Here is a 24495-nt window from a genome sequence, read left to right as displayed (position 1 = left end):
GGTACCTTTTTCTAATTCACCCAAAGGCCCCTTGTGGGTGGGTGCAATGGCTCTGCTCATGAGGGTCACACAGTCTTCAGGGGTCCTATCCAACCAGCCCTCACCAGGGGGCCAGCCTGGAACTGAGGTCCTTCAGCGTGATTTCTTTCCACCTCCCCAGCCATTACCCCAACAAGAGGCAGGGAAACGGGCTCAGAGAGTGACCTCCCCAAGTCACATAGCAATAACTGGGGGCCCAGACTTGAGCCCAACCTCCTGAGTCACAATCAGTACCATCAGGCAAGACATTGTAGATGGCTGGGCTTTCTGCCCTCAGATCTGCCTGAGCCCGAATTAAAAGCCTGCGTGAGCTTTTGTTCTTTCTTGCTCCTTTTCCGCGCTGTCTCCACCCCTGTCCCCACCCACTTGGGAGGCTGGAGGCCAGAGGAGGGCTCCCTTCAAGTGGGATGTGGCCATGTGACCACCATCCATCATCTGTCATCCATCATCTGTCATCTATCAACCATAGGGAGCTGGGGGCAAGATCAGAAAACTGGGCCATCAATACAGCTGTCCTTTATTCCTGCCCCCAGCCAGAGTGCGGAGCAAAGATCTGAGGGCCATCTTTGTCCAGTGAGAAACGAGCCCCTGTGGAGCTGCTGGTCCCAGGTTCCGAGTGACTGGGGCTGTGAACCTTCCCTTCCAGACCTGGGCCCCTCCTCAGGAACTCCACTGCCTTCTGCAGAATCAATTATTGATGAGGTCCCTGCAGTCAGGAGAATCCCAGCGGAGTCTCCTGGCCACCATTGGCAGCCTTCACAGGAGGCGAAATTGCTGGGACAAGATGAGCTCGTTCCCGAAGACAGGGCCAGTGAGTTGTGCCAGGCTGTGGCTTCCAGTGAGCAGAGGCCTAGTGTACCCTCAGGCTAGGGGTGCCAACCACCTGTCAGGGAAGAGGGAGCCCAGACCTGGTTTGCCTCCCAGACCACCCACCATGTATCCCAGAAGACAAGGGGTGAGCCTGCTGACAGTGCCCAGGGACAGGAGTCCCATGCCTGCTCCCTCACCTTCCTGGGGCCCAGGCTTAGACACTGGCTGGTGGCCCTGAATACTGAGGGGGTGCCTGGACAAAGGGGAGGAGGCCAGGAAGGGTCTGTGCTGCCTGGAAGGAGCATGTGACAGTCATACGTCCTGGCTGCTCATCAGTTTCCTTCAGGGGAAGGCTGACATATGGGAGATGACATTGGTAGGCCACAGCAGATGGCAGAGGAGCCTGGGAACTGCTGGGAGGGCATCGCATCTCACACAGTGCCTGAAGCGGCAGGTGTCTGTGTGTGTGTGTGGCGGGGAGCGGTGCCCAGGGTCCACCCAGTCTCCAGGAGCCGCTTCTCCCTCAGGAGAGGAGGGGTCCCTCTCTGTGCTGTGAGTTTCTTCCTCTGAAACCCCCCACATGTCTTCTCTCATCCCTGTCCTGGGCTCCCTTGGTTGCTGTGTCTCTCTGCAGTCCCCTCCAAGCCTGGGATTCCTTGGCTACCTGTCAGCATCCCCGGGGGCCCAGGACTTCAAGAGCTGGAGGGAGCTGCCTCCCAGTCTAGCCCTGCCTGTGTGGACCCAGGGCTTATGCCCCATGCCAAGCCTGGCTCACCTGTGAAAATGGGGTCGGGCTGGCATCTGCCGTGTGGGCTGCGGGAGGAGTGAATGGGAGAATGCAAAGGGCTGGGCCAGAAAGGGGGCTCCAGGAAAGCTGAATGCATGAACAAGTAAGAATTAGTGCAGCCTGGGCAACACAGACCCTATCTCTGTGAAATTAAAAAAAAAATTAAAAATTAGCTGGGCATGCTGGCTCATTCCTGTAGTCCCAACAACTTGGGAGGCTGGGGTGGGGGGATTGCTTGATGATGGAAAGTTGCACTGAGCTATGATCACGCCATTGCACTCCAGCCTGGGTAACAATGCGAGACCCCATCTCAAAAAAAATGAGAATTAGTCAATGAAGCCAGGTGCAGTAGTGCACCTGTAGTCCCAGCTGTTCAGAAGGCTGAGACAGGAGGATTGCTTGAGACCGGGAGTTTGAGGCCAGCCCAGGCAACACAGCGAGACCCTGGCTGTGTTGCCTTAAAAAAAAAAATAAATTAATTAAAAAAAGAGTTAATGAATGAGTGAACGTGTCAATTTAACCGATCCTCTGTCCATTTCAGTATTCAGTTACCTAGATTGTAGGTGACCTGAGTTCTCCTGGGTTAAGATGCCCTGCATCCCTCCAGAGAGTGAGGTTTGTCTGACAGTGGTCCATCCCATCCCCCAGGCTGAAATGTGAGTCGAATGGATCCTGCTGGCCTCCTCTCCACTCCAGAGGCCTGCAGCAGGGCTGGGAGGAGGGGGAGGCAGGCAGGCACCCAGGGGACAGGGTTGAAAGATGCTGAGAGCAACTGCCTTGCTCCGGTCCCTGTGGAGCCTCTGTCAACCATGGCTGCTGGGCTGGGAAGGACAGAATCATAGACTCACATTGTGAGGGTGCAGGGAGCGGCAGTGAAGGGGAAGGCTCAGCTGGGGGACCCTGAGGAGGGCTGAGCTTGGTTGGGGCCATGCGAATAAACTCCTTTTGGGGTTCGACCCTGGGTGGCAGTGTGCTGGGGCAACTGACTGAGAGACATTGAGCCCCAGGGGTGAGGGCACCTGCAGCAGATTCCCACTGGGATTAGACTCCAAGTGGGGTTGGCAGCAGAGGCAGGGGAGGGACCAGGAGTTCAGAGGAGGAGGAGGTGCTCAGGTGTGTCCCATCTCTTCAGCTGTCTGCACCTCAGTCTCCCCACCTGTCAGGCGGGGACAGGGCGGGGGTGGTAGTGAGCCCACAGCATTGCTGTGGTTAAACGAGCTTCCAGAGCACCTCACTGCATACGGGGCTGGCACAAAGAGCGTGCTCCATAAATGTGGCCTCTTGCTACTCCCCCAGGAGGCACCCCACTCCTGGATGACTTCTGCTTTGGGGAACAGTGGGTCAGAATTTCCACTGCAAGTGGGTTCCAGTGGGTGGTGGGTGGTGGTGCCTGCTGGGGTCAGGGGTGACCTGGGCTCTGGCCTCGCCCTCTTGGGATCCAAGGTGTAGAGCACCAGTTAACAACATCGTGTGAGGCTGCACTGTGAGACTAGCCGTGCACTCATTCCAAGGCTTACTTAGTAGGCTGGTGCTGGGGATGCAGCAGTGAACAAGGCAGACCACCAAGGCCACCAGGACGGTAAGGGAATTGTAAAGAGACCAGGATAGGGATCAAGGGCAACCTGACCCAGCTGGAGAGGCTAAAGCAGGCTTTCTTGAGGAAGCACCTCTATGCTGAGTTCATTGGCAAAGGTCAGGGTAAGGAGCTGTTGCTTAGGGAGAAAGCCCTTGCTTTGCCTCAGGACAAAAAAGGAGCAGACATTGGGACACAGCCCTTCATCTTACTCTCTCCCTTAGTTCCCTATATTGCACCCCACCCCCCCATATTGGCCCCCAATGCATCAGACCTCCAGTTCTTCACACCCTTATGAAATCCCCTCCCACACTGACTCTGGACTTTGGACATTTGGCCAAAATGCCCCATTTTGGCCAAATATAGCAAGTGTGATGTAAACAGAGGCTTGATAAGCACTTACACATTGGGGCTTGTCTCTGGAAACACTCCTTTTTTTTTTTTTTTTTTTTTTTTTTTTTTAAAAGACAGAGTCTCACTCCGTCACCCAGGCTGGAATGCAGTGGCAAGATCTCGGCTCACTGCAACTTCCACCTCCCAGGTTCAAGTGATTCTCCTGCCTCAGCCTCCCAAGTAGCTGGGACTACAGGTGCGTGCCACCATGCCTGGCTAATTTTTTGTATTTTTAGTAGAGACAGGGTTTCACCATGTTAGCCAGGATGGTCTCTATCTCCTGACCTCGTGATCCGCCCGCCTTGGCCTCCCAAAGTGCTGGGATTACAGGCATGAGCCACTGTGCCCAGCCTGGAAACAGTCCTTTTTAGAAACCAGCCACCACACTGTGAGGAAGCCCAAGCTGCCATGTGGCAAGGCCCTGCCAAGCATTCAGGTAGAGCCACACCACCTGCCACTCATATGAGGGAGGCCATTTTGGACTCTGGGAGAGTCATCCTAGTGGCCCAGCTACCAAGCAGGGAGCGGAAGAATAGCTGGTCAAATCATAGAATCATGAGAAATAATACATGCTTGTTGCTTTAAGCAATGAAGTTTTGGAGTGATTTGTTACATAGTACTAAATAGCACAAACATTTTTCTGCCCGAAGTCCAATTCTTTCCTGTGCCCAGAGCCTCTCTAGCTGGCATGAAGTGTCCTTCCCGAGACCTGTTCAGTTCTGCCCTGAAACTTTCTGTGGCTGGCTCCTACCAAGCTCTTCCCAAGATCAGAACATATCCTCCAGCCCCAAACCGCCTTCACTGGCTGATGCCCTGTGAGGGTCTCTGGGTCAGACAGGACTGGGGTTTGCAAGTGAGGGATGAGGCACAACTGTCCCTGGCCACCAAGGAGAGCCAAGCACAGGATTGTTCCCCAGGCAGGTGTAAGTTTCGTGTGGTGGCATCTGGGTCAGAGTGCAATCTGTCTGCTGGGAACATGGTCTTGTTTGAGCAACCTTCTTGCTTCCCTGCCTTCTTTACACATCTATTGAGCACCTACTGTGGGCCCTTCCTCCCAGAGGTGCTAGGGGAGACAGTAGAGGTGATGAGGTCACTGTCCTGGCTCTTGGGGTTCCACAGATGGGTGGGGGAGAAAGCCCAGATGTGACCAATCACACTCAAGGTATCAAGTGCTGCGAGAGCTGTGGGGGTGTCCACAGAGGCCTCTCTGGGAGTAGGGGTGTCCCAGCCGTTGGGCACAGAAGAGGGGTCTGGCATCTGCAGACTGCATTGTGACCAGGGATGAAACTGGAGCACAGGGGCCTGTGGGGGTGGGGTGGGCTGGGTGGTGAGGAGCCTCGAAAGCCAGAGCGAGAGCACCCTGGGACCTAGCCCTGGGGAGCCAGGAAGTGACAGGAGAGGACCTGCTTCAGGTACGTGTCTCCAGCAGAAGAGACAGGTGAACGGAAGGACACACAGATGGACAGAGAGCAGGAAAGGGTCCAGGGAAACAGGGAAGAGGAAAAAGGCGTTTCGGCAGCACTTGGACGCGGTCACTGTGGTCATTGCCGCACCTTGGCTGCAGGGGGCTGCTTGCCTGGGCCCACAAGACCAGACCAACAGAAAGTGCCTCTGCCCAGGAAACTTACTGCCCGATGCTGGGAAAGAAGGAAATGTCTTCATTAAATCATCAAAGTGAGGGTGCGCAAACCACCCTGAAGCAATTCTGACCGAGAAGATGCTGCATCAACTTGGGGTGGGGGGACAACTGAGCCCCTTGCGTTTCCGTGGCGACCTTACTCTTCTGTCCTCCCAGGCCAAATATCAAAGTTCGAGAGGCCACAACTATGTCAGTCAGGGTGTGTGGGAATCAGCTGGCACATTGCAGGAGGTAATATGAGGACGATTTAATCAAGGACCATTTACAGAGGTGGGGGTGTACGTGAGGCAGTACAGCTCTAGCTCAGAAGCTGGTAACAGCTGGACACCACACCCACCCCCGCAAACATATCCTGGAGGCCCGAAGGGGCAAGGGAAGGGAGCTGTGGAGAACGACAGTCCACCATGGGCAGGTTCTCCCGTCCTGTGAAGCTTATGCCCAGCAAACCTGGTCTTCCTAATGGACCCCAATGCTGTCTGCCCGACCACAGGCTGCATTTAGTGGACCAGGCTGGGGGCCGCAGTCGGGAGAAGGGCCTTCCTGAGTACGCAAAGCTATAACTACAAGAATGGCCACTGCAGCACCATTGGCAAGAGCTAAAAGCTGGACACAAGCCGGATGGCCCGCGGATGGGGAGGGTCAAATGAACTACAATCCATCCACATGAAAACTGGGCGCTGCTACAGGAAGGAGGCTCCTTGTGTGCCATCAGGGAGAGGCCTTGGCGCCAGCTCCCTAGGAAGGCAGGCTGCCAGGCAGTATGTCCAGAAGGAGCTCACTCTGGTGAAAACAACAAACAAGCCATCAACACTAGCTGTGCAGGCAAAGGCACAGAGTCCAGAAGGAATAGTCCTGACTGTTAGCAGAGCTAACAGTCTTTCCTGCTCTCTGTCCATCTGTGTGTCCTTCCATTCATCCATCTCTTCTGCTGGAGACACTTCAGGGGCGCAGCTAATGTGGCGGGGGGGGGGCTTTCACCTTGTATTTTATATGCTTTGTACTGTCTTTGTTCACACTAAACATACAACCCCTTTAAAAGTCATTTATGGAGGCCGGACGCGGTGGCTCAGGCCTGTAATCCCAGCACTTTGGGAGGCCGAGGCGGGCAGATCACGAGGTCAGATCATCGAGACCATCCTGGCTAACACGGTGAAACCTCTCTCTACTAAAAATATAAAAAATTAGCCCGGCATGGTCACACGTGCCTGTAGTCCCAGCTACTCGGGAGGCTGAGGCAGGAGAATGGCATGAACCCGGAAGGGGAAGCTTGCAGTGAGCCAAGATCGTGCCATTGCACGCCAGCCTGGGTGACAGAGACTCCATCCCGCCGCCCAAAAGAAAACATAAAAATGAATAAAATCATTTATGGCCGGGCATGGTGGCTCACCCTTGTAATCCCAGCACTTCGGGAGGCCGAGGTGGGCAGGTCACCTGAGATCAGGAGTCCGAGAGCAGCCTGACCAACATGGAGAAACCCCATCTCTACTAAAAATACAAAATTAGCCAGGCATGGTGGTGCATGCCTGTAATCCCAGCTACTTGGGAGGCTGAGGCAGGAGAATCGCTTCAACCTGGGAGGCAGAGGTTGCACTGAGCCGAGATTACGCCATTGCACTCCAGCCTGGGCAACAAGGGTGAAACTCCATCTCAAAAAAAAAAAAAAGTCATTTATATAAAAAACTACAAAAAATATGTTGAAGGGGGAATGAATAGAAAAAGATGCCAGTGTTCTTCCCTAACTGGTATTTGGCAATCGCTGAGCTGAACATTTACAGGGCAGCTGCAGTGTGCCAGGCCCTAGGAGAGCAGTACTGATCAGAAGGCTGCCTGCAAGGTGCTCGCCATCTACGGGAAGCAACAGCACGAGACGGGTGGGATGAGTGGGCATAGCCAGGTGACAGGGGCCTGGGGCTGTGGGGCTGGTTCATAGCAGTGAGAAAACCCTGTGGATGAGCATACTGGGCAGAGAGGCTGGGGAATGTGTGGGGTATTTCTGTCTGCTCTGCATGTGCAGGAGGCGGTGTTGGAGACAGGAACATGCTAGACTTGGCAGGGCCTCTGAAGTCCTCTAAAGGTGCATGGACACCATTACAAAGGTCCTAAGAGATGTATAGGCCAATGAGAGAGGGATGGAGAGGCAGCAGTGGGCACAGGCCCAGCATGAGTGCCAGAGGAGGGCAGTGCCATGTTCAAGGGCTGCAGAGTGAGTTACCCTAGGACAGCTGTGCAGTCTGCCTCCCGCAGCACACAGGTAAATGCACTGTCCAGGTGGGCCAGAAAGGCCTGAGTGGTTGTTCTGCACATCCTGGCCCACGGACCAGGAGGGCAGGACCTAGGGATCTCAGAGGTGCCAGAGATAGCCCTTCAGCCAGAACAGGTCTAAGAGACATTTTGTCCATTGTCCTCCAGAGGTGCTGGTCTGCCCAGGAACCTTGAGCATCCGTGGCAGAAGGACAGTGAGGCCTGAAGCTCTGAGACCCAGAACCATAAGTCCTGCTGACAACAGAAAACTCCCAGGGGGAATGGCAGGTGGCCTCTCCTTCAGGTGCTGACTTTGACAAGTCCAGGTTGCCTGGAACACTGTGACGGATCCTGGGGACACATCCAAGATCGCTGGGAAAGAGTGCAGGGTTGACTGCTGATGTGGGCCATGGCCGAGTAGTATAGACCGACGCAGGAGTTTGCAGTTCTGAGGCCTCTTGAGGCCAAAGGTGACTGTCTGATGACCCTGCAAATGGACTGGCCTTTTATGGGATCACCACAGTGCCTGCACTGGCCCGGTGGTGTGGGGCTCCCAGGCAGCCAGTGGGGGCCTTTTCTAGTGCCCAACCTGCAACGGACAAGTGACTGTGCCCTGGAGCTGAGCCCGGTGGGTGGGTGGAGGGACTGGAACATGGGCCTACAGCTTGAGGGCGACACGCTGCAGAGCTTGGGCTCCAGTCTCCACACCACAGTCACGGAAATTCCTGTCCGTGTGTGTGCAGGGAGCGGAGGCCTTCCACGCAGGCCCCAGTTAGCAGCAGCCCAGGCTGGAGGGCCTCTTGCTCTCCTGGGTCTCGGGCGGACTCCCTTCCATTTCTGTAAGGAGGGGAGAAGTAATTTAGCATCAACCAGGAATCCTGTAGCTGACACTGGGCAGGGGATGCCGGCCCTGACAGTCAGAGCTGTGAGCTGAAGCTTCTGGGCCTGCTGTTCAAGGCCTGAATGGCCTGACACAAGCCAAGAGAGGGCCTTCCAGGCACTGGAACAGAGAGGGCAAAGGTGCAGACTGGGAGAGCCGGGGCCAGGACACATCTGCAGAGCCTGGGACGCCCAGCCTGGGCTATGAGGACCTCATGGATGCCCATGAGGTCCATGTGTCAGGAGAACAGGGAGGGCTAGGGAGGGTGTCTGACCTGGCAGGTGGAATCAGAGGGGCTACAGGCCTGAGGCTGCAGTGACACCCTGAGAGGAGGGTCAAAGGACAGGAGAGGGCCACAAGTTCAGGAAATGGCAAGGCCTCAGGTGACGAGGATGGCGCATGTGGATTTTAGGCCTCCAGCCTACTCCCCAGCCCAACCCAGTCACACCTATACTCACGGATTAGGTCTCCATTGCCGACCTGGAGCCGGGCACTGCTCTGCCTCTCCAGGTCCTGCAGCACCGACTGCTCGAATGCCAGGGCGGCTACGCGGCTGAAGAATGCCTTCACGTTCTCGCCTGTGGGCCCACAAGACAGCCGGGACCTCATCAGTGTTTCTCCTTGCCCCTTAATGCATCTGGGTGTGAAAGCCAGGCTAGCCTACCCTCAGGTTGGCACGTAGCCCTTTCTAGAGCACCCTGACAGTAACAATGACCCCAGGAGGGCACAGCCCCACCCACTCACACAGGCAGCACAGTGCCAGGGGCAGGGTCCACTGGCCTGGCCTCCCACCTGGCTCCAGCCTCCCAACTCCCACCCCACTGCCTGCTTGGGCCACTCCCTCAAACTTCTGAGCCTTTGCTTCCCAGCATCTACTCTTCCAATCAGATGCTACTATGGCCCAAGTGTTGGAAGATGTGGAACTCAGGACAGATATGTGCCTGCCCTCCTGTCACTTTCCATACCTGTCCGGTGGGGCTGTGAGGATTGATTTGCTGTCAGCCCCCACATGGAGCCTTTATGCATCCTCCTCCAGGTAGAGGTGGCTGCCCATCAGAGAGCGGGCTGGTTTCCAGCCCTTAACACGCACACTGCCCTTGTGCAGCCAGCAACCTGCACAACCGCATAGGGCAGTCCTGCTTGGTCCATAGTGAGCTGTCGGTGAACTCACTGTTACTCTGATAAGGGAGGAAGGGTTCTCACAGAGCAGTTCTCACTGTTGGAAAGGAGCAGTGGAAGGCACTGCCAGTTGTTTGCGCTGGGCTGAAAGTGGTGCTTCTACTTGTGACGCCAACCCTCAGTGCTCACCCAGTCTCCGACTAGATATCTGCTGTCCCCTCTTACACAGGGTAAAGACTACTGGGCCCAATTCCTGAGTCCCCAGAGCCTTGGGGGCCTATTATGTGCCAGGCCCTGCGTATGACTTCATTTCATCCCCCAACAACCTGTGTTTGCCATCTGCTCTTTGTGTCTTTGGATTTTCTGTTTTCCTCAGTAAATACACCTGGCTTTTGTAATTTAAAACGTTTTTTCACAAAAAAGGGAGATGGATGGCATCACCTGCTTCCCAGATGAGATGGAGGCTCAAAGATGCTGGGCATCTTGCCTTGGGCTGGGGACCCAGTATGGCCAGGGGTAGACCCGGTGGGGAGTGAGTTCAGTGAGAGCTGGGGTCTTTGAGCCACAGTGATACTGGGAAGGGATGGGAGCCCCTGTCACTGGGCCCTTCTCTATGCCAGGTGATGTCACATGCCTGGCATTTCAGGGCCAGAGGCAGGATAGTGCAGTGGTTACAGGTGAGGGTGTGTTTGGATCCTGGCCCTGCCACCCTGTGGCCCTGGAAGTTACTTCACAGGACTAAAATGGAACGTGCCTCATGAGTAGTTATGGGGTAGTTATGAGTAGTTATGGGGTTCTCCGGTTATGGAGAACAGGCCAGCACGGCATGACACAGGGTTGGGGTCACTATTCCCCCATCCGTGAGGCAGGCCTCCCAGCTTCCTTCTAGAGATGACGCAGCTCCTCTTAGGCAATGAAAGTGCTGCCAGGCACCAGCACAGCAGGGCTGTGATGCCAGTGTGCACCAGGGCCACAGAGGGAACAGACGACTGGCTACAGAGGGAAACACTGCATGGCAGGCCCCACAGGACTGGCCCAAGAGCAGGGCTCTGCCCCACCATGGTGACAGCCCTGGCCCACTCACCAGTCTTGGCCGACACTGACCAGTACTCGGCCTGCATCTCCCTGGCCAGGTGCACAGCGTCTGCTTCGGCCTGCTCACATGCGGCCCCTGACTGGGAGAAATGGCCCTTGTTGACCCAGCGTCCCGGCTCTCCTGCAGGGAGGCCCAGGGGGATAGGCAGCTGCCTGCTTCCCACTGTGCTGCCTCCCTCCCTCCCCATGGCTCCTCCAATGAGGGCTGTAAGGGGAGGCATTTTCCCAAGGGCCACCCAGACCACCAGTGCCACTCTGCTCACCAGAAGGTCCTTCTTGGTTCCCACGAGGAAGATGAAGCAGGAGCCTGCCTCGTTCTCCCTCAGAGCATCCTCCAACCACTGCCTGGAGTGTAAGGAGAGAGGCTGAGAGATTCACCCATCCTCCCACCCCAAACAGGGGGCAGAGGGCACACTTGGGACCTCCCCAGGGCTGAAGTGCTGGGCTGGGAGGGACAAGGAGGGCTTCCTGGCCCACACTGGCTGAGCAGGATGCTGCACCTCCAGCCGGAAGGGCGTTGGCTGGACCCAAAGGGGTGGGAATACCAGAGCACTGGCTGGAGGTGGTGAAGACCCCTCCTGGCCCCACCTCTGGCCTCTCCCGGTGAGACCTTGCATGAGCCCTGCATGTTTATCAACTAGAACCATCACCCCCGCCTCCCTCACGGGGTTTGGAAGTTGCTGGGTGTGAATGCCCCAGACCAAGGTAAGGTGAGAGGGCTTTGCTCTAGTAGCTGGCCGATTCCCAGCAGAAGTAGGATAGCCTCTTGAATGGGTCACATTGCCAATTCTCTCTTCTCAAGACTGCAAGTGCCAAATTCATGTCACTTCAAAGACTGGCTATACAGTTTTCAGGGCCCACAGTGAACTGAACACGTGGGGCACCTCATTCAAAAAGTATCCGGACTTGCAACATGGCAAAGGCAGTGTATTAAAGCAGGTTGGGGCCCCTCTGAGCACGTGCCTGGGGGTGGCTGTGCTGGGCTCACACTCATGTGCTGGCTCCTCCAGAATAGGGACAAATCTCAAGCGATAAAGGCAGTTGGACAGTAAGTAGTCCGTGGGCAGCTGGTTCTGACAAGGGGCCCTGGTCACTCACACCCACCACGGGGTCAGGGTCCACTGGCCAGGGTCTGGGAGCCCTTCCAGGCAGCTTCCTGAGCCCAGGGAGACTGCAGGGGCCAGAGAGCCCAGACTTACCTGGTATGCTCCAGGGTCTGCACGTCAGTGAGGTCAAAGGCCGTGATGATCACTAGACACCCGGAAAAAGCCAACAGCCAATCAGTGCCAGGCGAGGCGAGCAAGGGGGCTCCCCAGGAGGTGCCCAGCTCCCAAGGAACTGCCAGGGCAGCCCCCCAACCAGGCACTCAGCACCGGAACCTCCTACAATGAAGGCTGAGGAGGAAACACCCCATGGCTGTCCCCCACCGGGACCCTCCAGCCTGCACCCGGCAGCCCAGCCTCAGTGTGGGATCCAGGGAGGCAGGACAAGGTAGGCGTGGAGCGAGCGCATGGGCTTTAGCGTCAGACACCCTCTGCCACTTACGGCTAAGGGAGCTCAGGTGAGGGCCTTAACTGCTGAGAGCCTCAGTTTTCCCACCTGTAAAATGGCGAGGACGAGACCTGTAGCTCTCAGGGTTGCTGTGAGGATTAAACAAGAGCAGCTGTTTTAAAAAGCTGTTAGTCGCCAGGCGCTGTGGCTCATGCCTGTAATTCCAGCACTTTGGGAGGCTGAGGCGGGTGGATCACTAAGTCAGGAGATCAAGACCATCCTGGCTAACACAGTGAAACCCCGTCTCTACTAAAAATACACACACACAAAAAAATTAGCTGGGTGTGGTAGCCGGCACCTGCAGTCCCAGCTACTCGGGAGGCTGAGGGAGGAGAATGTTGTGAATGCGGGAGGCGGAGCTTGCAGTGAGCCGAGATTGCGCCACTGCACTCCAGTTTGGGCTACAAAGCGAGACTCAGGCTCAAAAAAAAAAAAAACCTGTTAGTCCAGGGCCAACTTTCATTTCAACCAACAGCAGCTACAGCAGTGATGGTTAGCAACAACCTGCTTTAGCGAAACAACTTCCGGGGAGCCAGGTGGGCAGAAAACCGGGAGATGCAGCCTGGGCCCTCAGCTCCTCTCATCACTGGCCGCACCCCGGTCCTGTTGGGGTCCTGAGGGGAGCCCTATGTGGAGAACATTCCAGGCAAATGCTCTCTACTGCCCCCAGGGGTGTGACCAGGGCCGGACAGGGGCTTCCTCTGCACCTTGGCTGAAGGCTACAGGGAGACCCACGCCCCTCCCAAGGCAGATGGGAAGAGAAAGGAAGGGGGAAACTGAGGAAAGGGATGACGGCAGCCAGGCTGCCATGTGGAGAGGTGGGCCAGGCGCCTCGCACCTCTTATTCCCAGGGGAGAAGCATCCTTTCAAGGAGAGGCCCGAAGAGGCGAAGGGTGCAGGAGGCCATGCGACCAGGGCAGAGCTGGAGCTCCAACCCACGGCTGAGGGCTGCCTGGTTTGTTTCCTATTTTTGCTTCTTTTAAGTCTAAAAGAAAATGTTGTAACTTTTTCACCACTACCGAGTAGACATATCGGTGCCTTATAATTTGAGTCTGGTTTTGGATACTTTTGAGGTTCTCTCACATCTCCCACTGAAATCCATTTCTGTCTTCTTCCTGGGAAGGTGGGGTAGGCATCCGGAGCTTATGCTGCCGCCCCCTGCTGACGGTGAGCCCTGCCCAGCACCACCTGGCTGCCCTTGGCCATGGAAGTGGTGAGCATCCGGCCCTGCTGGCCCCCACCTGGGGCCTCCCAGTCCTCCCGTGGTCCCCCTTTCACTCCTACTCCCTGGCCCAGCCCCCTCTGCTAAGACAGGACAAGCCTCCTCCGACCTCCCCCTGGAGTCCAGTGCTGCCCTTCTCTGAGCCTCTGGAAAAGCACTTTCATCTCTGAGCATCTTTATGAGCTGAAACTGGGGCTGAGACTTAAAGCCAGCACCCACTACCACAGGGTCCTTAAAGGGTGTGATCGCCAAAGTCAGCCAGTGCCTGGGGATGAAGGCAGCTTCCCTGTTCCCAAGCAGTGGCCTGGTGTTTTCTCAGTGGGTCTTGGAGGACAAAAAACTGGTGCCTGTGCAGAGAACTCGGGATTCCCACTGTGGAGCCCGGCAGGGACCCCGCTGCTGCATGCAGTTGAGCCCCGACGTGGCATGTTGCTCACCCTGGGCACCCCGGTAGTAGGCAGATGCGATGCACTTGAACTTCTCCTGCCCAGCTGTGTCCCAGCTGTGAGGTGGGTGAGAAAGAAAGGGAAATGGTGTCAGGCTACACAATCACAGTGTCTTGAGCCAACAGGCTACGGGACCATGGGTGGGAGACCCTAAGGGCCTGTGCCAGCTGCATGGGCTTCAGGAAGTGCCTGTTGTGAGCCAGATGTCCCTACCCCCAGCTCCTTATGATCTCTTCCTAGGGTGCCCCCAGTGGACTTCTCTCATTCCTAGTGGATGGGGGTGTGTGGCATTAGTTGTTCTGCTGCCTGGATGGATGGAGTTGCAGCTCACTCCCTTCTGACTGAGACATTAAAATGGAACATACGGCCCAAGACATGACTCGCTCTGAAGATGTAGCAGTCCACTTGTAGAGAAGGCTCTGTGAATGGCACTGGGGCTCCAGGCGGGGCCTCCAGCAGTGGCTCTGCCACTTGGTTGGGTGATGGGTGTGACTGGGTCATTGCTTCACCTTCCACACTGCAGGTCCCAAAGTAGGAGTTGGAGATACCTAACACTGGAGCAATAGGTGGGTCTCAGCAGTTAGCTCCAGCTCTCTGGAGCACAGTAGTGAGAAGAAATTAGAAGCAAAGCCCTGGCTCCATGGAAAAGAGTACAACAATCGATTAATGATGTCTGCCATGGGCACAGTCTAGAAGAGGGGAAAGAGCACCTACTGAGATCTACCTGCCCTGGCTTAGAACAAGGCAGGTAGTCACTATGCAGGGCTGAGTCGGAAAATTGTTCCCCAATCCATCGCTTTTTGAGGTCAACTGATCAAAATTGAACTTTTCTCAGTAAACTGCAAAGTAGACAAGTCACAAACAAGACATCTATGGTCTGATTTTTTTCTTTTTTTTTGAGGTGGAGTTTCGCTCTTATTGCCCAGGCTAGAGTGTAATGGCATGATCTTGGCTCACTGTAACCTCTGCCTCCCAGGTTCAAGCAATTCTCCTGCCTCAGCCTCCCAAGTAGCTTGGATTACAGGCATGCACCACTGTGCCTGGCTAATTTTGTATTTTTAGTAGAGATGGGGTTTCTCCATGTTGGTCAGGCTGGTCTCGAACTCCTGACCTCAGGTGATCCACCCGCCCTGGCCTCCCAAAGTGCTGGGATTACAGGTGTGAGCCACCATGCCCGGTCATGGTCTGAATTTTTTTCAAGTGATCCAGTATGACACAGAAGTTTGGGCTTCATTCTTTCATTAATTCATTCATATTTTCTTTCATTTCTGAAGACTCTGGGGGAGGAGCTGGTGGTGGTGGCCTAGAGATGAGCCCGTAGGGAGGCTGGCAAAGGCCTCAATGTAAGACAATGAGAGGCTGAGCCAGGACAGTGTCCCTGTTTTGTCCAGGGCCCTCTAATGAGATATGGCCTGTGGTCACACGGGTGAGCCCAGCCCCCAGCCAGTCTTTCCCGGCTCCACCTCAGCTACCCCCACTGGCCCTTTGCTCTTCTCAGCTCTCTGGATCCCTCAGTCCTGCAGCCCTGCGTTCTCTCCCAGCCTCCTTTGCTCTTGACTGGCCTGTACTCTCCCTTGGGCAAGATTTGTTATCCTCCATCTCCAGGGCTTTGCTGGGGCTGTGGAAGTCCTGAGAGAAGGGGGCACTATCTCGACAGAGTTAGGAACTGACATCCACAGGATCTGAAGGCTCAGTCCAGGCAGGGCATGGAGGATTGAGGAACGAACTCAGGCACCAGGAAGGAGCTTGGTGAATGCCAGCAGGCAAGTGGAGAGGAGGGGGGCGGGGCTAGCCATGTAGGGGAGCACGGAAGGGTCTCACAGGAGAGTAGAGGTGAGGGCCCGAGCCCAGGCAGGCCTGCAGCATTCTCCAGGTGCCGGGGCAGAGGGAAGCTACCCAGCTGGGGTGGGAGAGGGTAAGGGGTGGGAGAGTGGCCCTGGGCCACTCAGATGGAAGGCAGAGGGAAGGGGTAAGGCCAGTGGAGGCCATCGTGAGTCAGACTCCCAGGGCCTAGCAAGGAAGACAAACAGAAGTGGGCCGGGTACGGTGGCTCACACCTGTAATCCCAGCACTTTGGGAGGCTGAAGCGGGTGGAGCACTTGAGGTCAGGAGTTCGAGATCAGCATGGCCAACATAGTAAAACCCCATCTCTACTAAAAATACAAAAATAAATTAGCTGGGTGTGGGGGCACACAGCTGTTGTCCTACTTGGGAGGCTGAGGCAGGTGATTCGCTTGAAGTGGAGGTTGCAGTGAGCTGAGATTGCGCCACTGCACTCCAGCCTGGGTGACAGAGCAAGACTCTGTCTCAAAAAAAAAAAAAAAAAAAAAAGACAGAAGTGGAAGGAAAGTGAGGCTGGGGAGAGGGAGTGAAGGCTGCAGTGTGAGGAGGAAGACGAGTGCCTCAGACCTGAGGAAGGATGTGGGTGCTGTGTACTCCATCTCAGCCCTCCTTGCCCAAGCCTGGCATGCAGGGACTGGATTTGACCCCATTTTACAGGTGGGAACAGAGGCTCAGAGCTCAGCAGCAACCTGCGGGAGGCCACCCTGCTGGCCTGGTGAGTGGGATCACAGGAGGCCTAGGTCAGGGAGGGACTGGAGCCAGGGCCTCAAGAGGAGTGGGGTGGGCATTGGGGAGGTCATGGGCAGGTGGGCAGGTCAGGCTGTGAGCACCTTCCCCAGAGCCAATGACCAAAATGAGACAACTTTGGGACTGACAGAGCATGTGGGGGCTCTGGGAGCCAGGAAGCTAAGTGTCACACAACACCCCCAGGCTCTGCTTGTCTAGACTAGTCCTCCTTGACATGGACACAGTGAAGGAGCTCCCCAAATCCTTTCTCAGGTGCCTGTAGGAAGCTGCCCACGAGCCATGGGGGAACCAGCAACTTACATCTGGAGGCTATAGGGAATCCCAGCAATCTCAAAGCGCTCAATTTCAAAGTCCACCCCAATGGTGGCCTTGTAGTCTCGATCAAAAACATTCTTGCAAAACCTGTGGGGGATGAGGAAGTCGTCACAGGGGTGTACTCACAGAAATGTGCCCGGAAGCTTCACTTGTAACACTGCAAGTCTTTAGGCAAATAAGGTCCACTTCCCATCAGGAAGCGATGGTCCACGCAGGCCATGGGTGGGCAGGGCAGCCAGCAAGGACAATGTGGGGAAAGGGAGGCTGCAGGAGCTCGGAAGGCAAGCTGTGAGTTAGAAACTGAGCGAAACTGAGCAGCCATTTGCAGGGAGGGCAGTGGAGGGGAGAGCCCGTGGCCCCAGGGGGACAGTCTGACAAGCGCCAGGCTCCTGGGACGCCACAATTTCTGCCCAGCCCTGCCATCTCCCCGATTTCTTGCACCCCCTCTTATCCGGCTCCCAGCAGGCTGAGGCACAGCAGTTCCTGGAAGCCACATGATTTCTGCTATGTTGATATTATCTGGGCCACCCAGGCAAAGGTATGACAACCTGGTGCTGGGGGAGGTGGCCAAAGGGGCAGAGGAAGCCTTGTACCTGTGGATGAGGCTGGTCTTCCCCACGTAGAGATCGCCAACCACCACCACCTTGGAGAGTTTGAGCCTGTGAGAAATATGGCCGTGTTGCCGTCGGGCATGCCTTCCAGGGTGTCTTCAGACACTCACAGCCCCTTCCTTCCCTGAGCTCTCTGCTGGTGAGACACCCCTCACTCCTGGACACAGGATGGGCCACCCTGCTGAGACACTGTGTTCCCCCTTCACAGTCCCCAGAGGGGAGACGGGAGAGGCTGGAGACTCTGCTGCCCCTAGAGCTGCACCCCTCACCATATTTGGCCAAAGTCCCCATCCTGAGAATTAGGAATGGGCATAACAAGAGGCCGAGTCACAGGTGGAGGGGCAGAGGCAGGAGGCCAGGGTGTGGCTGTGGTAACCAACCAACAGCCGTGGGCACGTCTGTGCTGTCCGGGAGCTGTGCTGAGGGTGCAGACACAGGGTCCACGTGCAGGGAGACCCCGGCAAAAGGGACGGGCAGCCCCTCACCCTCCTATGCACCCCCGGGGCTGTGCGCCGATGTGGGCTCCGGCCTCTTGCAAGCAGGCACTCCCTGACCATGACACCACCGTGCCCTGCTCACTTAGAGATCTGTAAGGGTCCGACAGGCCAAGGGGCACACCCCGAACAGGGCTGAGGCTCTATGCATCCGGGCTGTGGCTTGAGGCAAATCGGCTCTGAGGTTCTTGGGCTCTCTGTGGGTCACTGTTCCCCAAGAGCAGCCGCCACCCTCACCCTCTGTGTGTCCTACACTCTGTGCAGAGGCGTTTCTCGGACTGTTTATTATTTTTTTAGAGACAGGGTCTCGCTGTGTTGCCCAGGCTAGTAGTCTCAAACTCCTTGGCTCGAGTGATCCTCCCACCTCAGCCTCCTGAGTAACTGGGACTACAGGTGCCATTGTCCCAGCTTCCTGGGACTGTTGACAACACTTTAAGAGTTTTTGCAGCTCATCCCCAAGGAGCCAAATGGTCACAGCAACCAACCTGGGTAAATATCTGACAGGCACTTCCTCTGCCTGCAGACAGCAAGAGGGCACCACTGTGTCACCTGGTGACCTGGGCTGCAGGTCACCTTGCCAGGTCCGTGAGAGCAGGGATTGTGTCTACCCTGCTCCCAGAGGGCCCTTTCGTTCTGACTCCATTTCTCCTATGAATGAGTAAAGGTGTTGACAAGGTCTTACAGCAGGTACCCTCTGATCCTCAGTTTCCCCACCTCCAGTGCTGCCATAAGGGATCAGGGAGATCATCTGTGTGAAGCACCTGATATGGCACCAGCATTCCCCAACAGATGCCATTACTCTCATCCCACCACCATGGCCACTTCGGCTATTCTGATCTCAGCTCTGCCTCACCCACTCTGTGCAGTTTGGGAACCTCTAGCTGCGCTCTCTGGCAGCCTCATCGCACCTCTGTGACCCCTGTGAGCTCAGCCAACTCCCTGAGCAGACTATGAGCTCCTTAGGAAGAGGGGCAAAAGCAGGCCCTTGTACCTATTTGTTAAAAGAAGGAATGACTATTTCACAATCCCTCTGCCAGTGGTGGCAGGAGCTGCCGCGGCAGGAAGAGGACAGACACAGCCCTCGCCCTCTTGGGCTAGGTCTAGTGAGGAATCCAGCCTGCAATTCTGTGAGATAAGTTCTTGGGGGCACAAGAGCACCCAGGAGGGGTACCCTCCCCAGTCCAGGGGCAAGGGTAGTGGGGGGTCAGAGAAGGCTCCCAGAGGACTTGACACGCTGAGACCTGAAGGGGAAGGGGAAGGGGAAGCGAGGGGATTAGGAAAGACATTCCAGACAGAGGAAATGAACTTGTACCAAGACCTGAGGCTGAAAAATCACCTGCGTGACTTAGAAGAGGGAAAGTTGTTCCATATGGCAGGTGTGTTAACTGAAGCCAGATGAAAACCCCAGTCATCTGGCTGGGCACGGTGGCTCACACCTGTAATCCCAGCACTTTGGGAGGCCGAGGCAGGCTGATCACGAGGTCAGGAGATCGAGACCATCCTGGCTAACATGGTGAAACCCCGTCTCTACTAAAAATACAAAAAATTAGCCGGGCGTGGTGGCGGGCGCCTGTAGTCCCCGCTACTCGGGAGGCTGAGGCAGGAGAATGGCATGAACCCGGGAGGCAGAGCTTGCAGTGAGCTGAGATCGCACCACTGCACTCCAGCCTGGGCGACAGAGCGAGACTCTGTCTCAAAAAAAAAAAAAAAGAAAAAAAAAAGAAAACCCCAGTCATCTTCAGGCCTGTACAGGGCTGCACCAGCCTCGTGTGTGTGTTTCATTTGTTCATTCTTTCACGTGCTTCATGCACTCATTCCTTCTTGCCACCTGCTCCCCCATCCCACACCCTGCAGGCTCACCCGACAGTCCCCGTGTTCCTGCGTTGGCAGGCAGCGCTGACCTGCCCGTGGAAGTGCTCCCTGAGCTGCAAACAGGCTTCCGGCGTGTACCACTGCAAAGAGACAGACAGACGGACACATCATCCTGCAAAGCTGTGGCTCCGCCCTCGTAGCCAAGCAGTGAGGGGAGATGATCTTCCCAGCCTTCCTTCCTAGGCCTCACAGCTGGCAGCCTCATTAGCTTTCCCTGACCCATTTGTCATGTGTATCTTCTATTTCCTCAGCCTTGAGGCTCTGGGGCCTTGTGAGTCCAGAGGGGCGAGCCCAGGCAGGGACTTGGAGATCTGTGTCTCACCTGGGGCCGCAGTTCCCTTGCTGCATGCATGTGACAGGCCTGTCTGCTCTGGGTCTCAACCCTCTCAGGGCGAGACGAGTGGAGCTCTTTTGGTGCCAAGATCCTCCAAGATCCAATTAGCCAGGTGCAGTAGTACATGCCTGTGGTCCTAGATACTGAGGAGGCTGAGGTGGAAGGATTGCTTCAGCTCAAGAGACAGAGGCTGCAGTGAGCTATGATCATGCCACTGCACTCCAACTTGGGTGACAGAGTGAGACCCTGTCTCTAATCCATACCTTCTATGAATCTCTGATGACATTTTGTTTTAAAAACATGCATACATGTGCCTGGAAAATGTCCTAGGAGGCGCTTTCTGCTGTCCACGTTTCTTGGAAGGCAGACCTGAGCAGTGGTTTAAGAGCATGGGCCTCAGGGTCAGAAAAAACTGCACGTACCCCACCCACCCTCACCTGGTCTGTAATTAGAAAAAAATGAGATTAAACAAACTAAAGATGACCATTATTTTTTGCCATTGGATTGGCCCAGGCTAAATACAGAATGTGGCAAGGATGTGGGGAGAAGGACACCATTGAGGCTGTTGGTGTGATCTGTGTATGGCAAGGGTCCCGCCCCCCGCCCCCCACCCCTGCACAGCCACAGCCACCTGCTCTGTCCCTCTGAACACTGCTTGGATCCACAGCTCCCCTCCCTCAGCCGCAGTGTCTCAACCATGGATTCGGGCTCTGCCTGGCCCATCTGCCCTCTCAGTTCCAGCTGTGATTGAGGCAGCAGGGATGGTGAAAGGAGACTGGCAAAGGGCAAGTTACAGAAACTTATCGAGCTCCAGTTTCCTTAAATATTAAACAGGGATGCTCATAATAGCACCTTTTCATGTGGTCGTTGGAGGAGTAACTGAATAATGCAGGTGAGCAGCTTAGCCTGATAGTCTACTTTCCTGCAGAAGAGCAGCAGCTACCATGAACAAGCTGGCTGCTTCTTTCTGTCAGCTTCCATGACAGCTTTAAGCTAGGGACTGGCTCAGACACAATGGTCATTACAGGATGGCTGGAAGACTGTGATAATGAAGGCTGCAGGGTAAGAAGTGTGAGCTGATTTCAGAGACAGGGAAACTGAGGCACATGGCATAAAGGGAAGGACTTGCCTGGCAAGCAGTCTGAAGACCCTGCTCAACCTGACTGAATTTCTCAGGGCCCTGGGGTGCAGGATGAACTTGACCAGCAGTGGCCTTGATCCCTGACTATTATGGGCAGGAGGGGAGAATGCCACCTGTGAAACCAGGATGGATTCCCTAAGCTGCTTCCCTGGGGTAGGGTGCTCTGGAGCCAGACACGGCCAGGTCAAATCCCAGAGGTACCAGGAGCAGCTGTGTGATGTCAGGCAACCCTCCTTAACTCTGATCCTCGCCGTCTGCTCTGCCAATGAGGTTCTTCATCTCATGATACCTGGACTGTTTTGTGCCAATCACACTTTCCTTCCTTTTGACTCAAGAAAGACCAGTCTCTGTCATCCCTAGTTACCACTGTCAAGCTCTGCAGAGAGAATAATTGCCTGAGCCTCTGTTGAGATGGAAAACCCATGGGGAACTGTCCACAGGTCTGAGACACAAAGCCTTTCTCTGTAGGTGTGTGAAGAAGGAACTTAGGGAGGAAGGTAAAGAAGGGGGAAGGAGGAAGAGCCACATACTCCAAATACCCAGGACCTGTCTAGAGTCACCTCCTCCTCACCAGCCTGGCCACAGAATCCAAGATGCAAAAAAGGCCATTCCATGGAGAGGATCTATCCCTCTGCACCTGTCCGAAGCCACAGAGGCAACCACTGAGAGTAGGGGCTTATATATCCTGCCAGAAATATTTTCTGCATATATAAACAAATAGACATTTCTCCCTCTCCTTGTTTTCACACACCGGAGTGTGCTGCACACACTCTACTGCACTCTGTTCCATGCCCTGCATTTTTACTTAACGGTTTACTTTGGCTCTCGTTGCATGTCAGCTCCTGAAGAGGTTGCCTCATTCTTCCTCATGTCTGTGCCAGGAAGCATTACTTGTTTAACCAGTCCCCTCTCCGAGGATGTTTACGTTGTATCTTATCTTCTATTCTTACAAACTGCTCCAACCCCTATCCTTATGCACATTGTAAACCCATGCCAGAATATCTGCCAAGTAAATTCCTAGAAATAGAATAGCAAGGCCAGTTGTGGTGGTCCACACCTATAATCCCAGTGCTTTGAGAGGCCCGGGTGGGAGGATTGCTTGAGGCCAGGGGTTCAAGACCAGCCTGGGCAACATAGCAAGACTTCATCTCTATTAAAAAAAATTAAAAATTAGCCAGGCATGGTAGCACATGCCTGTGGTCCTAGCTACTCCGGGAGGCTGAGGCAGAAGGATTGCTTCAGCCCAGGAGTTAGAGGAGTGAATTATGATGGCACCATTGCACTCCAGCCTGGGTGACAGAGCAAGATCCTGTCTCTAAAAAAAAAAGAAAAAAGAAACAGAATGGCTGGATCTTAGAGGGCAGGGTCATCTTCTATATTGGTAAATATTGTCCACTGCCCCCTATGGAGGTTGTACTCAATTTGTATTCCCTGCTGCAATTAATATTGGATTTTAATACAGACACAAGAGAGCTGTGAGTTTTCAAGCTCATAGAGGCGGAATGGCAAGAGGAGAGAGCCCTGGATTTGGGGTCATGGAACTGGAATGCTGTTTTGATAACAACAACGATGATGAGAACAACAGCAACTATGACTGCAGGGGAGCTCCTGCATACCATGAGCCAGGCACCCAATATGAGAGGAATTACCTTCATGTAACAGTGGCTCTGAGAGGTTGAGTAATTTGCCCACAGCCACACAGCTTAATGACAGAATCAGAATGAAGGATTCACATCAAGGACTGTCTGGCTGCAAAATCCCAGCCCTTATAACCTCCAGGCCACACTGCTGCCCAGTGTCACCATTAACTTGCGGTCCCACCTTGGGCAGTCAGTGACCAGTCTCCCAGCTCCTCAAGGTAAATCTGACAATGGACAGACCTCCTTGATTCACCTGCTTTACTTCTAGGCATGAGTGTAGAGTGGGGAGAGCTGATGTGGCTGCAGGGCCAGGAGAGCACTGCAGACGTAATGACTCTCTACCTTAGGGAAGCTGGCGATGACACGGTCGCGGCTCACAGGGGGCCCCAAAGGTGTCAGGGAGGACCTCATTCTTCCACAGTCCTGTGGACCCAACCAGGAGAAAGACAGTTAAGGAGCTGTGCAAATACCTGGGGATTCACCCATGAGTTTCCACCTAACTTTTCATCAGATCCAGGCTGGGTGCAGTGGCTCATGCCTGTAATCCCAGCACTTTGGGAGGCCAAGGTGGGAGGATCACTTGGGCCCAGGAGGTTGAGACCAGCCTGGGCAACAAAGTGAAACCTCAGTCTCTACAAAAAAAAACCAAAAAAATTAGCAGGGCATGGTGGCCTGTGCCTGCAGTCCCAGCTACTTGGGAGGAAGGTGGGAGGAATGCTTGAGCCTGGGAGGTCAAGGGTGCAGTGAACCGTGAAGGTGCCACTGCACTCCAGCCTGGGTGATAGAGTAAGACCTTGTCTCAAGAATTATAAATAAAACCAGATCCAGGCTTCCCTCTCTGTCAGGAATATGGGGCAGAGGCCATTTCTCTCAATCTGCATACAGCAGGCAGCATGGTATGGGGGAACCAGGCCTGCCCCACCCTGCCTGGGAGTCAGAAGACCTGGGTCTCCCCTTGACAGGTGTCTACCAAGGAGGAGCTCCCCTCTGAGCTTACCTTACTGGGCTGTGAGGCATGGCACAGCTCAGGCAGTGGAAGTAGAGTGGGGAGGGGTCTCCTGCTCCCAGTCTGCAAAGGACGAAGGCTCTAGGTGGGCCTGGGGGCCTTAACTTTCAGCCAACTAGGCCTTTTCCCTGAAAACCCTCACTTCACCAGGCCTCTGACTCCTCGAGCCTCCTCAACAGCCCCTCTGTCTCCTTTTTCTGTCCGGACTCCTCTCCAGGCTGGGCTGGGGTGGTCCTGGCGGAGTCCGGTTGTCTTCCCGCATCTGACCTGGCTCTCCTCCACAACCAGCGCGGGCCTGGCCCAGAGTTTGCGCTCCGGAAATGAGGACGCCCCGGGGCCGCAGGCCGCTTTCAAGTTATAGGGGCGGGAAGTGGGCGCGGACGCTGTGCCCTCGCGGCCCTGGCCTCGGGATGTGCCAGCACGGGGTTGGGTGACCGGGAGGGTCGGACAGAGTGGGCGAGCTGACTCACCAGCGATGGCTGTGAAAGCTGGGGCTCCGCGCGGCCTGGTCCGCCTGAGCCAGCGGCGGCGATCACCATGGCAACGAGAGCCACGCGGGACCTGCGGGCTACACGAATCGTCGACGTCGTGGGCGGGGTCTGCGTTGGACTGGCAGCGGCGCGTCCAAGCATCCAGCTTGCACCGGCGATCACCATAGCAACGAGAACCTGCCTGGAGTCTGGGCGGGGCTGGCAGCA

At 55.4% G+C, this 24495-nt stretch overlaps 2 protein-coding genes across 21 annotated transcripts in view, besides 4 other annotated features; one reads left to right on the top strand and one right to left on the bottom strand.

Moving 5' to 3' along the window:
• RSPH14 (radial spoke head 14 homolog) overlaps positions 1-24495 on the top strand; it is a 121315-nt gene that overhangs the window by 10911 nt on the left and 85909 nt on the right. The window lies entirely within an intron of this gene.
• On the bottom strand, positions 539-24495 carry RAB36 (RAB36, member RAS oncogene family). Of its 20 annotated transcripts, none has more exons than XM_011530545.3 (12): positions 24268-24495; positions 23789-23860; positions 23134-23214; positions 19665-19756; positions 17293-17358; positions 16685-16786; positions 13787-13851; positions 11776-11827; positions 10840-10921; positions 10566-10656; positions 8821-8940; positions 539-922 (listed from the first exon to the last, which is right to left on the bottom strand). In XM_011530545.3, the coding sequence occupies exons 1-12, from the start codon at positions 24451-24453 to the stop codon at positions 906-908; spliced, it is 1026 nt and encodes a 341-aa protein (XP_011528847.1). In that variant the 5' UTR covers positions 24454-24495; the 3' UTR covers positions 539-905. The 20 variants fall into 20 exon arrangements, 19 of the variants coding, with proteins under 19 accessions (XP_011528847.1, XP_011528848.1, XP_006724444.1 ...); XM_011530546.3 differs by having other exon boundaries at positions 10586-10656; XM_006724381.5 differs by lacking the exon at positions 539-922 and adding an exon at positions 4156-8319 and having other exon boundaries at positions 10586-10656.
• Positions 2664-3165: an enhancer, noted in NCBI's record as "H3K4me1 hESC enhancer chr22:23508841-23509342 (GRCh37/hg19 assembly coordinates)". NCBI's record gives its function as "activates a minimal SCP1, AML or CMV promoter by ChIP-STARR-seq in naive H9 embryonic stem cells {active_cell/tissue: H9 hESC(naive)}" and the evidence as "EXISTENCE:reporter gene assay evidence [ECO:0000049][PMID:30033119]".
• Positions 13222-13827: an enhancer, noted in NCBI's record as "H3K4me1 hESC enhancer chr22:23498179-23498784 (GRCh37/hg19 assembly coordinates)". NCBI's record gives its function as "activates a minimal SCP1, AML or CMV promoter by ChIP-STARR-seq in naive H9 embryonic stem cells {active_cell/tissue: H9 hESC(naive)}" and the evidence as "EXISTENCE:reporter gene assay evidence [ECO:0000049][PMID:30033119]".
• Positions 19345-19845: an enhancer, noted in NCBI's record as "NANOG-H3K4me1 hESC enhancer chr22:23492161-23492661 (GRCh37/hg19 assembly coordinates)". NCBI's record gives its function as "activates a minimal SCP1, AML or CMV promoter by ChIP-STARR-seq in naive H9 embryonic stem cells {active_cell/tissue: H9 hESC(naive)}" and the evidence as "EXISTENCE:reporter gene assay evidence [ECO:0000049][PMID:30033119]".
• Positions 19846-20346: an enhancer, noted in NCBI's record as "NANOG-H3K4me1 hESC enhancer chr22:23491660-23492160 (GRCh37/hg19 assembly coordinates)". NCBI's record gives its function as "activates a minimal SCP1, AML or CMV promoter by ChIP-STARR-seq in naive H9 embryonic stem cells {active_cell/tissue: H9 hESC(naive)}" and the evidence as "EXISTENCE:reporter gene assay evidence [ECO:0000049][PMID:30033119]".

Source organism: Homo sapiens, chromosome 22 (genome assembly GCF_000001405.40).
Source record: "Homo sapiens chromosome 22, GRCh38.p14 Primary Assembly".
In the NCBI taxonomy this organism is placed as follows: Eukaryota; Metazoa; Chordata; class Mammalia; order Primates; family Hominidae; genus Homo; species Homo sapiens.
Note: the sequence above shows the minus strand (reverse complement) of the source record. Positions and strands in the feature narration are given on the sequence as shown.

Bases quoted from the DNA above. Each gene is read 5' to 3' on its own strand.
- RAB36 (XM_006724381.5), bottom strand. From the start codon at position 24,453: ATGGTGATCGCCGGTGCAAGCTGGATGCTTGGACGCGCCGCTGCCAGT. The intron at 10,657-10,839 runs GTGAGCAGAGTG...CATTTCTCCCAG, and splicing joins GAACCAAGAAGGACCTTCTG to TCAGGGGCCGCATGTGAGCA. The intron at 8,941-10,585 runs GTCAGTGTCGGC...GTGGGCCCACAG, and splicing joins GAGATGCAGGCCGAGTACTG to GCGAGAACGTGAAGGCATTC.